The sequence below is a fragment of the Homo sapiens genome, chromosome 21, assembly GCF_000001405.40.
Source record: "Homo sapiens chromosome 21, GRCh38.p14 Primary Assembly".
NCBI classification, from domain to species: Eukaryota; Metazoa; Chordata; class Mammalia; order Primates; family Hominidae; genus Homo; species Homo sapiens.
Window position 1 is genome coordinate 7075016 of NC_000021.9, and position 12710 is coordinate 7087725.

The following is a 12710-nucleotide window of genomic DNA, read 5'->3' on the forward strand; positions in this document are numbered from 1 at the left end:
ATGCATTATCTACAGGTGACACTACATCATTATTTTTATGTCTTATCTTATATACACCTAATACATTCCCTAGGAAGTAGATGTTAGCATCATCACCAGTGTGCATGTTAGGAGGCTGGGGAAGCCTTGAATACAGTGACTTTTACTGGGTCCCAGAGATGGTAAGAAAAACAAGGTTATGTTCCAGCTGTCTCTTCTATCCTGGAACCCAGGTTGCATTTAGGTCTTTCCAGGGAATTAAGGGGAAGTTGTGTTTGCATAATTGTGTACAAATAAAGAGTTGACATGGAAGAGGAGACTGAGCAATCAGTAGCATAGTGGGGCCTTTCGGTATGTCTTACAGAAACATGGGGCCCAGTAGATGGAACCTTGAAGAGTTTAACATACTTTCTTGGTGTCAGAACCCAACAGCAGTTAAGAAACCAGGAATCCACATTCTTGAGACAGCTCTGTATCCACCTCTGTTTGTGAGAGTTGCTCAAGAGAGTGAGATGCTCTTTCATTGTGCCCTGAAATTTCTGAGTTTCAGCCTTACAAAGGCTCAATGTAAAAGTCTTATCTGATAACACAGATGTCAACTGAGCCCTCATCACTGATGTCCCTGGCTTTTGGCCGGGTGCACCTACAAATAACACAGGGCAGCCCAGGACAGGCCCCTCCACGCCAGCCTCTCTTGTCAACTCATCTGGGCAGTCCCACACCACTTCTTAGTACCATGAGTTGGATGGGGAGCAAGAGGGAGGGCACTCTTCTTGGACTGAAGTAGATTGTCGGGTGTTGGAACTCTTGTGTACCTGTCATGTTCATACCTAGGCCATAGCTGGCAGAATAAAAAGAAGAGGGTTGGAGAACGAGTCTGTGTACTCAGATGTGAATTCCAAGACTTTAACTTGTCCTCTGGTTTCCTTCCTTCATGGAGATTTATACAGATTCTCCTTATGTGCCTAATCTGAAGAGAAGAATTTCTTTTATTTTCTTTTTTCTTTTTTCCTTTCTTCTTTTCTTTTTTCCTTTCTTCTTTTCTCTTTTCTTTTCTTTCTCTTTCTTTCTTTCTTCTTTCTTTTTTTTTTCTTTCTCTTTCTTTCTTTCCATCTCTCTCTTTCTTTCTTTCCTTCTCTCTCTCTTTCTTTTTTATTTATCATGAAGTCTCACTCTGTTACCCAGGCTGGAGTGCAGAGAAAAGCAGAATTTCTAATGGAGGTGTCACATACGGTCAAAGCAAGGAAGAACACAGACTTTTCTTTGCGTGGTTTCTAGGCACATTTACAAAGCTGCATTCAGATTGATGAGGAGCTTCATCATTCAGTTTAATGTGGCCAACTCCTCCCTCTTTTTGGAAAAAGAGCAGGTGCACTAAACCAGCAAACACAGCCAGCACTGGGCTGTGCTGAGAGCAGCCACATAGGGGTCTCTACAGACAGAAAGCTGAGAAGACAGGGAAAGAAACAGGACCCAGACTCAAATATGAAAAATCTCTGGGCTTTGTCCTACGGCCTTCCCATGAGTAACTCATAGCCTTGTTCCAGTGGAATCTGGCCTTCACTAGTCTCAGTGGCAAGTTGGTTATGTGGAAAGTCTCTCTTCACACACTTGTGCGAATAACGGTAAAGAATTTTGTATAGTTTTCACTTTACATTAGGCCATGAGTATTTATGCCTGTGGCTGCAGTTTGTGTTAGTTTCCGGCCCCACGTATCTCCTGCAGCATGCAGCTTCAGTCCTATCGGACCCTCAAAACTTAAAAGCTAACACTATTACTAGGGAGGATTTCGCAGGAAAATGGAGAAAGGGTTACACACAAAAAAGGTTAAACTACTCTATGCATGTTTCTGCAATGTGTTATCTCAGGAACTCATTTCTGTAGCCCATCAGGGCAGGAGCTGGGCTCTCACCTGTTGATAATATTCCATAAGGGAGGTTCTTCCCCACAGTGTTTAGTCTCCCGACGCTGGTACAGCCTGACATGATGACATTCTACTTTCATGTCGGTCATGCTGCAGGGAAAATTCTGAGTGTTCTAATAGGCTGGAATCATTTGCTAGGGTGAACCCCATCTTTGGTTCTCACTTTTCTGTTATCTTGTAATTAGCTTTATTCTCAGCAAATCCATGTCTATTTTATTTATCTGTTTATTTACTTATTTTTATGTATGGAAAAACACTTTTTTTTATTTACTTATTTATTTAGAGACAGGTCTCCGTCTGTTACCCAAGCTGGAGTACTGTGGTAGAGTGCTGTGATCATGGCTCATTGCAGCTTCAAACTCTTGGGCTCAAATGATTCTCTCACCTCAGCCTCCTGTGCCACCATGCCCTGCTAGTTGATTTTAATTTTTTATAAAGAAGGAGACTCATTAGGCTGCCCAGGCTGGTCTCAAACTCCTGGGCCCAAGCAATTCTCTCATCTCAGCCTCCCAAAGCACTGGGATTAAAAACATGAGCCACTGTACTGAGCTGTGCCTACTTCAAAAGACTGAAAATAAAAAATCAATAAATCTTTGCCAAATTAAAAAACAAAACAATAGTTTCCAGGTCTTAGACAAAGACAATTCTGTGTCATGAAGAGTGGCAAAAGGCTTATTTAGCTGTTAAAATGATTTGCTTATATTTCAAAGAAGCAGAGAAAAAAAGATACATATAAAAGTTTTCCAGGCCAGGCACGGCTGTTCATGCCTGTAATCCCAACATTTGGGGAGGCCAAGGCAGGAGGATCTCTTGAAGCCAAATGTTTGAGTCCAGTACAGGCAACATGGTGAAATTCTGTCACCATAAAAAAATAAATAAAATAAATATGGCTGGACATGGTGGTTCACGCTTGTAATACCAGCACTTTGGGAGTCGGAGGCAGGTGGATAATGAGGTCAGGGGTTCGAGACCAGCCTGGCCAAAATGGTGAAACCCTTTCTCTCCTAAAAATAATAACAATAAAAAATTAGCCAGGCATGGTGCTGTGCGCCTGTAATGCCAGCTACTCAAAAGGTTGAAGCAAGAGAATTGCTTGAACTTGGGAGGCGGAGGTTGCATTGAGCTAAGATCATGCCACTACACTCTAGCCTGGCCCACAGAGCAAGACACTGTCTTGAAAAAATAAATAAATAAATAAATAAATAAATAAATAAATAAATAAATAAAAAGTTAGCTAGGCCTGGAGGTGCATGCCTATAGTCCTAGGTAATTAAGAGGTTGAGGCAGGAGGACTGCTCAAACCCAAGAAGTTAAGGTTATAGTGAGCTATGATTATGCCATTGCACTTCAGACTAAGCAAAAGAGTAAGATTCCATTTCAAAAAATTACTAAAAAAAGTTCTCTAAATTACATTGTTTAAGAAAAGGGAAAAGAAAAAATATCTTTTTTAATTTTCAAATGGGAGAATAGAGCCTCTCATTTCTAATATGTATTTCCTTCTGCAAAAACATGGTCTAGGCCCATGGTCTTGAACTACTGGACATCTGAATTTTAGTAGGTGCTGGATTCAGGCAACTGAGGGGTGGCTTGGACACACTAAGTGCACGTAAATAAAAGGTTTGAGGTGAACTAAAAGGTAAAAGAGGGGAAGGTGCTATTAAGAACCCACAGTTGGGAGACAGTACAGGGTTGGTGGAAGGACTGGTTCATGCTACAGATACTGACCCAGGTGAAACTTTACTCTGACTTATTTCTGTGTCCATGCAGGAAGACGAGATTATGATCAGGTGGCACAGAAACCTGGGATGGTGAAAAAACCAGGTTGCCCCTGCAGATTCGGTGTCTGAGGTAGAACGTATGCCAGGGGTCTTGTAGGCACATGTGTGGGTTTTTGGTGGGAAAGTCTATGAGGAAAGGTAGCATGGGCAACAATCTTGATGCCAAAGCCTTGTCCTGAGAGGGGCTTGGCCACATCAACATGCAGTGTGTATGTTCAGTGGGTGAAAAACCTGTGGTGGCCTCAGGTTGGCAGGAGGGTAGAAGGCATCTGTTCTCAGAACTTCTTCCCTCAGAGTCGTCGGTCCTTCTTACCATGGGAGAATGCCTGGAACCACAGGGCAGTGCATGGTGTAGCAGCCTGTGTGCAGAGCAGAGCCTACCTTCCCCGAGACACCTGGAGTCTCTCTCCAGCAGAGGCCCCCACATTGTCTTTCTCCTTACAACACTTTTGATCCTAAATGTGTAAAGTTCCCTGAAAACCCACTGCTTCTCCAACACCCATTTGTTGCCCCAAAATTTAATTCTGACACAACTTAGAGTTCACACAGATCCCAGAAATTCAGGGCTCAGTCCCACATCACCCCTCTCACTGTAGAGGAGAGTTACACATCCCTGAAGCCCATCTACACTTCTGAGCTACCTCCTATAAATCTGAGACTAGCATAAACCCCTTTTCAAGTTAAATAATTTGATAGAATTACTAAAAAGAAAACCTCAACAAATAACTGTAATTATATTTACTACTTTATTATAAAAATATAACTCAGAAACAGCCAAATGGAAGAGATGTCTAGGGCAAGGAACAGTTGTGGGTGAAGGCAATCCTGGAAATAGCTATATTTAAAGAAATTCCCCCATTCTTTGCATTCTCAAAGAACAGCTTAGTGAAGAGAAACGTGCTTCCCCTGATGACTTTGAGGATGCTCCCTGCTGTTTTTTTAACCTATCACAAAAATGGACACAGATTGCAAATTCCCATTTTTAAAAATGAACAACCATTCAGTAATTTAGTCTTCAGTGGTCCAAATAACATACTCTTAAAGAAACTTTGCTTGTTTCTCTTCTTCCAACCAGCCCCTGAACTTTGACTCACCCACAGCTTCAGCAAACCTACAACCCTTATTTATACATACCCCTCCTAAGAACAGGCTGAGTTCAAGGTGAAACATTATCTTATCTGGGATCGCATTTTGCTACCCTCCATCGTGTGCTTCCTTTCCAACCTTCTTTGTAAACTTGTTTTCTCCTCCCTATGAAATAAGGCCCTTTTCCACCTAACCTTAGAGATACTCAAAGATCTAATCATTTGTACTTTTTCTTTGTTGCAATACTTCTTAGGTAACTTCTTAGACCAAGTCTAGAAACAGTCTGAGGACAATAACAATTCCATTCTAAAAAGAATCTCCCAACATTTCTTCTATCTCAACCTCAACTGCATCTGCCTGTGAACTTCCAGCTTACCAAGGCTCTATATCTTCTGGCAGTGACAAAGGCTCCTTCCATGGTTGGTGTGAGTAGGCTTGGACACCTGCAGGGCAGACACCCAGGAATAATCAACTGGGCCTTCAGTGGTCCTCTTTTGCAGGGTCAAGGTGGGCCTTAGCTTTTAGTCAATGGTCTAAGACTTCTATTTACCAGTTAGTCATTCAGTTAGTTTTCAATTCAAAAAATACTTCATGTTTGAAGAATCCAGCAAAAATTATTCAAATCTAAGATATAAAAGAGAGGAAATTACAGCCGGGCATGGTGACTCATGCCTGTAATCCCTACATTTTGGGAGGCCTAGGCGGGCAGATGACCTGAGATCAGGAGTTTGAGACCAGCCTGACCAACATGAAGAAACCCCGTCTCTGCTAAAAATACAAAATTATCCAGGTGTGGTGTTGTATGCCTGTAATCCCAGCTACTCGGGAGGCCGAGGCAGGAGAATCGCTTGAACCCAGGAGTTGGAGGTTACAGTGAGCAGATGTCTTGCCATTGCACTCCAGCCTGGGCAAGAAGAGTGAAACTACATCTAAAAAATAACAGAATAAAATAAAATAAAAACATTATAAGGGGCTTATATCTTATAATTCATCAAGAAAAGCCAAAGTATCTATCCCTTTCAGAAAATAAACATGTAATTTAATTATGTTCAAAACAAATCATTTAGTAAACAATTAATCATATGTGAACACTTCCAGGAGGTGCAAAGTCCCAGCTCCTAAAACTTAACATTACCCTCAAACACCCAGATGGCAGCATATGGAATAGAGTTATTCACTTTCACAAGTTCTCTCTTTTGAAAAAAAGAATAACTTATGTGATAAATTTATGTAATTTGACAATTAATCTACCTCATGTGCTTGCAGATATGTATTCATTTCCTACCACCGTAGTGGAAGAGAGATTTTCCCTATCTTTACAACTGATAGCATTTCCAACAGTAAGCTGTGAGATTCTGCTTGAAATCACCTCTCAAACAAATAAAAAACAGACCTGGGAGACATGCTACACTCATTCTGCTGAGGAAATAGGTAAGTAACAATTTTTAACAAATGAAATACATTACTACTTAATTTTATTCAAAATTCACCAACTTAATGTGCTTTATAAATATTCTCATACCTTTGAAGCTCTACTGATAAAACATAATTTACAGTTAATGAAAAAGTGAAGTTAAAATAAATACAATCATATTTTCAAGGTGACAAAATTAGAAGGTGACAATGGTGATTGAAACACAGACATATCTGACCCAAGGGTCAAGTCAAGCCGTTCTATTACTTGGGATATTTTCCCTGCTTCTATCTGGTTCAGTGATGTGGGTCATGAGCGTCCTACCAGGAGCTGCTACGCTCTGCTCCACTGTGTCTGTGAGGTGCATTTTACTTTGCAGGTTTTTGCACTGCCTCACTAGGTTGGGTTTCTTTGTCCTTTGAAATATTTTCTCTCCCTTCACCAATCTGAGGACATTTTTTCCTCACTATTCAGCATCCAGTTGCCTGGCATGCAATGTGTCTCTAAGGAATGGAAACTAAGCGTTGGGGTAAGAAATTCTTAATGTCCTAAAGGGTTTGCTTTTAGCGCAAATGTATACGTGGAGATTCCTTCCAGGTATAGTGCATCCAACCACTCCAAAAAGAGGCTGCATTCCCATACCTTGGGCTGTTCCCTGAGAGGAGATGACACAAGGGATGTTATTTACTAGACACTTCAAGAGTCATGGCCAGTGTTGGTATCTTGGGGATTCTCAAACAGTTTTGAAACCCAAAACCAAGAAAATAACACAAGATGGCTGAGGATGTATTGCCCTGTGAGGTTTCTGAAATGAAACCTCAACCCAAAAACATTCTGATGGGGTGTCTGTGCCAAGGGAAGATTAAAGAAAGGGGCACAAATATTTTCTTTTCTTTTCTTTTCTTTTTTTTTACTGTGGATTGTCAGGGGATTATTATCTGCTTTCATGTCCTGTAAAATGTTTACAAATGAAAAATATTTTTTTAAGTGTCATCCACTGCTTTTTGAAAAAATGCAGAATTAAAATACTGTGTCTAAAATGTACAATAAAGAACAGTTGATAATGTTGTGAGTTACACAAGGTTAGTTAGTGTTGGTAAGTGTCAGGAAAGAACTGGAAATTTAAACTCTGACAGCAAGCCAGAGTTAGGCTGGGGTAACAGGGTGGTAGATTTGAGGCTCTTCTTGCCACACATTTGGAAAATGCATGAGAAAACTAATTCTCTTTTGGAGCATTAAAACAACTAAAAAACAGGCAATTGCGTTGAGGTGGCTCTAGTGTCCTGAGCTCTGAGTAGAGAGACAGGCAAAGGCATCCCTAGATCCAAAAAGCTGCCCATTCTTCTCCAGCTGTGCACCTGATTAGATAATTTCCACTCCAGCACCCATGATTGGATATAGTTCAATTCCCCACCAAGCCCCCTCAGGCCATGAGTGACATATGTGATTTGACACTGGATTGAATAAAGCAAGAATTATAAGTTTTTCCTGGATCCTTTTCTGGCAGGGCTTCCTTCATGCACTGGACACTGGCCCTGCCTGTAAAATACTTGCATTTTCATTTGTGTGTAAGATTATTTGTATTTATGAAAAATATATATGTGTTATTCATACATGGAAGCAATATAATGACAATTGTTTTAAAATTTCAGATGTTTTACTTTCCTGGCACATCCAGGTTTTAGAGCAGGCAGCCTGAGATTTCAAAAATGAGGCAATTCTCTAAGAAATAATATGTGAGGCACATGTGAATTTTAAATATTCTAGTAGCTACATTTTAATAAATACACCAGGCATGGTTGCCTGTTCGTGTAGGTTGAACTGTTTGGGAGACTGATGTGGGAGGATCATTTGAGGCAAGGAGTTTGAGACTAGCCCAGGCAGCATAGAGAAAGCCATCTCAACAACAACAACAACAAAATTGAAAAATTAGCCATGCCTGGTGTATGCCTTCAGTCCCAGCTACTCAGAAGGCTGGAGCTGGAGGATCACCTGAGCCTGGGAGGTCAAGGCTGCAGTGAGCCATGATCACACCACTGCACTCCAGCCTCACTGACAGAACAAAACTCTGACTCAAAAAACTGATCTCTGGAAAGGCATTTTCTTTTTCTGCAACGTAGCCAAATAGCTAAATTTGTATTGAAGCCATCCTTTAATTTTTAACAGGGCAAGAATATTTTCTAAGACCCCGAACTCCAGATATGCGATGGGGCAAATCCTGAAGCGTACATGGCTATCTCTCACAGCTAAAGCACCCCTCACCCCTATCCAGCGCTTCTTACCCCTGGCGCAAGAGAGTCACCTGCGGGGAGGAAAACTATCAAAATCCCTTAAACCCAAGTTGTAACCGCACAACTAAATCAGAATCCTTGGAGCTGGATCTGAAAAAAATACGGTTGAAAGTTGTGCAGGTGATTACAATGTGTAGGCAAGCCAGAAAACCATGGCTTTAACGAGCAGCTTTTGTTAGAAATGATTTCTCAAATGAATGTAAAAACGTTTGCTGCTGAATTGTGACCTTTCAATTTTACCTGCTTTTCCTGCAAAGTATATTTTGCAGACCCAGGCTGGCTTGTCCTTCTGTTCATGGTTCACCCAGTGCCGTGTGTGCTCAGTGCATCCTGTGCACGGGTCACTGTGCTGTGTGCGCTGGCCGGGGTGAGCATCATTCTTCGGGGAGAACCTTTCTGAAAACAAAGCTGCAATCCAAAAAGTTAAAACCATGCTACTTACTGTACTGAGGTAAAAATTAAAAGACCTAGGGGACTCTTCCAAAAGTTAAAACGTAAATAAATATCTTGGAACATTAATATACACCTGACGATGTCCTGAGTGAACACGCCCCACTTTAAAACAAAACAAAACATTACTATTATTCTAAAATATTAATTTAGGATTGTTATGCAAATATGTACTATTTAAATATTTATTGATGAATAACATGCATACAGCAATATAGGAACAAAATATTTATGGAATGCTTGATGAATTATTACTAAATAAATACACTTGTGTATGTAAGAATCAGATTTGCTCATGCCCTTGACACTTTCTCCTTCCCAAAGGTAACCAAGACCTTAAGAGCTAAGTGTAGATAAACTTTGTCATTTTCTACACGTGTTTTATTACAGAACATTAAAAACGTATACATAATACAAAAAAAGGATAACAGACCAGTCACCCAGATTTAACAGCTACTAGTCATGTGTCATTTTTGTTTCACCTATACTTCCAGCCATTTCCACCCCAATTTCATTATTTTTTAGCCTTTTTGGATAAAATGTATATTCATTGCAAGGTACAATGTGAACTGTGAATAGTAGAGAGATGGGGTTTCACCATGTTGACCATGCTAGTCTTGAACTCCTGTCCTCAGGTGATCCACCTGCTTCGGCTTCCCAAATTGCTGGGATTACAGGCATAAGCCAATATACTCAGCCTGAGAATTTTTTCATACTTCTAAGAAAGTACAAATCCATAGGGCACATGAGAACTGCAATGTCTATCTACAGTAAATACAGTTTGATAAATAAAATGAAAGGCAATTGACCTAAGGTGAAAAGAAAAACAAAAAACAATCAAAGCATGGGTACTATGTGTCATCTGTAAGAGCATTTGGTTAAGAATAACAAACAAACCAGTTTTATCGTTTTAATAGCCGAAATTGGCAAAATTTCTAGTTTTTCTTTCATAGGAATGCTCTTTGCAAGAAAAAATTTTCATATAGTGAGAGCAAAAATGGCAACCATTTGCAAGTAAATGTCTTATGAAATTAAGTAGCAGATATCAAGCTCATGACCTTCAGATAGTTACCCCTAACTCAATCACTTACATAGCAAGTGCAGATAATTTTCATAGCTCCCTATTAAAATTATATTTGAATGCCCTTACAAATTGTGACTGTTTTTAAATAAAGTTGACCAACTAAAATTTTGTATATGACATATGATAAATTCCCCTTCAAGTCACCTTACATTTACTTAATTTTATTAGGCAGTGTCTGTCTACCACCCAATAATACTTGACGATTCTCCCTCCATTTGCACAGGCATCATAGCTGGGAAACGGATTCACAAGACCCAGGCTGTTCCCTACATATGTTTCCTCCTCCGACATCAGTTCATCAGTCAATCAAGCCATGTGAGAGTGGAGGCCTTGTATTCCCTATTATTCTTGGGCACTCTACTCCAAGTAGGAAAAGGCCAGGAGGTCCTGTTAAAGGATGCACTCAGAGCCCGGGCTCCCTAACATATGAGAGTGCTAACCAGCAGGTGTAGACTTTTCAGGAGTGAAGAATGAGGCAGGCATTCCAAACCTGGACCTTCATCACCTTTTGTTTCATCTCAAGACAATTCTGAGGGACTGTTTTGGAGCGTGTCTGGAAGGTGAACCTTGAAGAAGAGTGTGGGCTTTGATGTGACTCAGTTGAGATCTTTCATGGGGAGGCAGGAATTCAATGCCCAGAATCTGGGCTGGTGTCTTTGAGGTCAGTAGGTTGCGTCTTTGTATCCAAGTCCATTGTTACTAGGTTGGAGGCTGGAGATTCTAAATGGCTTCCAGACCATCTCTCTGATTCTCTTTGGGAGATGGGGTCTGAAAGACAATGTCAGTAGTTTTGGGAAATTCTAGAAAGTGTGCTTGGAAACGTGGGAAGAGCTCTTGCCTAGTGCCTAAATGCTCCATTTGCAGCTCTAGCCAAGTAGATACTTGGTAGGTATAGAGCCGGGTTTGCGTTTATATCAGCAAAACCTATGTCAGAGTTGAAGAAGTAGTCAGGAAAAAGCGTCTTGGTCGCAGGCCGGGGAACATCTTAAAAGCAAACTTCTAGCCTGCTGACTCTTGGCAATGAGTGTTGGATCCTGGCTAAAGTGCCTTGAATGCAGCATGAGGCCAATCCATGAATCCAACTTCTCATGGAGAAATGTTAATATTTTTTCAGTTTGAATCAATCAGGGTGAAACTACCATGCTATTGGTTTGCTTACTTTTTATTATTTCATGTAAAATCTAAGACAAAATACATTAAATGCTTATTGACATATGTATTTATTCTTCACCAGGCTGATAATATCTGCCTAATTTTAAACTTTCTTCCATTTTGTAGGTTTCAACTTATTCTATTGTAAGATACTGTTAAATCTAATAGAGGCATTGTCACTTTTACGTATAATTTTATTTTATTTCATATATTTCCTATTGGCTTTTTACATTTAAATTATGGAGCACTTCATCATATAAAAAACTTCAATTATATTTAAACAGTAAGTCTTTGGATTTTTTTGCCTTGTAATTTCCATATTACATAATAATGAGATAAACATTAATGTTTTCAGGGTACTTTAAATTTTAGATAATTACTCATTGTATTCATGTGAAATTTGTTTTTACTGCATGTGTGGGTTGGAGGACTGTTTTCACTTCTGATTCATCTTTACTCTTATCTCATCAGAGCTCATACCTCTTGTAGTTGGGGGATTGCAGTTTATAATTCCAATAAATGGGGCAAATTCAATAATAACATAATACAAATGAGTTTGAATGCAGGACAGGTCTTCAAAGCATACACAACATGGGCCTACATATGTACAACAATAATAATTTATAAGTTACTGTTTGGATGGAAAGTAAAAGTACAGAAAATTTGTTAAAGGAAATTAAAATGGAGATCATGTCTCAATAATCTCTGAGCAGACAAAATTAGTTAGGTCTCATAAGTGATCTCAACCTCGCTTGATTTGCAAATACAAACAAAACTTAAATTATTTCTTGTAGCTGCATATTGAAAAAAGAGAAATGAAGCTCAACCAGTCAGAAGTAGCCAACAACCTTATATAAATAGAAACTGTCCAACAAGGTAAACAGACAAACAAAAAACAATAAAAAAAGTTGTGCTACCACCAAATGATTTCTTTGTTTCTACATTTTTCAAATAAATACTTGCTTCTTACACTGTCAATGAAGCACTCAATATCTTTCCGTCTGATATTTTATAATTTATCAATTGCTCTTACTCAAATAAACACTTTGCAATTTCATTGTGTCTCAAATTACTTTTTAGCAGAATAAACTAGGAATAAATATTACAAAAATATCTACGGAATATGGAAAAAACATAGAAAGTTTATGAAATATATGAATGTAGACATAAGCAAATAGACAATTTGTATCATATTCTTAGGCAGAAAAACTCAATATTATCAACATCAATTGTCCTTATAGTTATTTATAAATTCAATTTTGTTCCTATACTGATACCATTAAATATTGCAAGTACACGTTACTATAAAATGTTATATAGATGAAAACACAAACAAGAATAGACAAGAAAACTCTGAAAAAAAAAAAAACCACTGGCAAGCCCTGTGTAAAATCTTGATTGATTAAAAAACTCATGGATCACTGAAACTAAAAATTCAGAAATAAACCAAAGTGTCTAAGAAAGTGTCATAGTGCATCTTGGCTGCTATACCAAAATACCTTAGACTGGGTAAAGGATAAATAAGAGAAATGTATTTTTCACAGTTATGGAG

General features: G+C 39.2%; 1 long non-coding RNA gene across 1 annotated transcript in view; it reads left to right on the forward strand.

Moving 5' to 3' along the window:
* The window catches only part of LOC102724843 (uncharacterized), a 38372-nt gene extending 26157 nt beyond the window's left edge, over positions 1–12215 (forward strand). The window contains exons 2-3 of the long non-coding RNA NR_170986.1: positions 6034–6198; positions 10230–12215. This is a non-coding gene — a long non-coding RNA (uncharacterized LOC102724843). The remainder of the gene's footprint in view (positions 1–6033; positions 6199–10229) is intronic.
* The last annotated feature ends 495 nt before the right edge of the window (positions 12216–12710 follow it).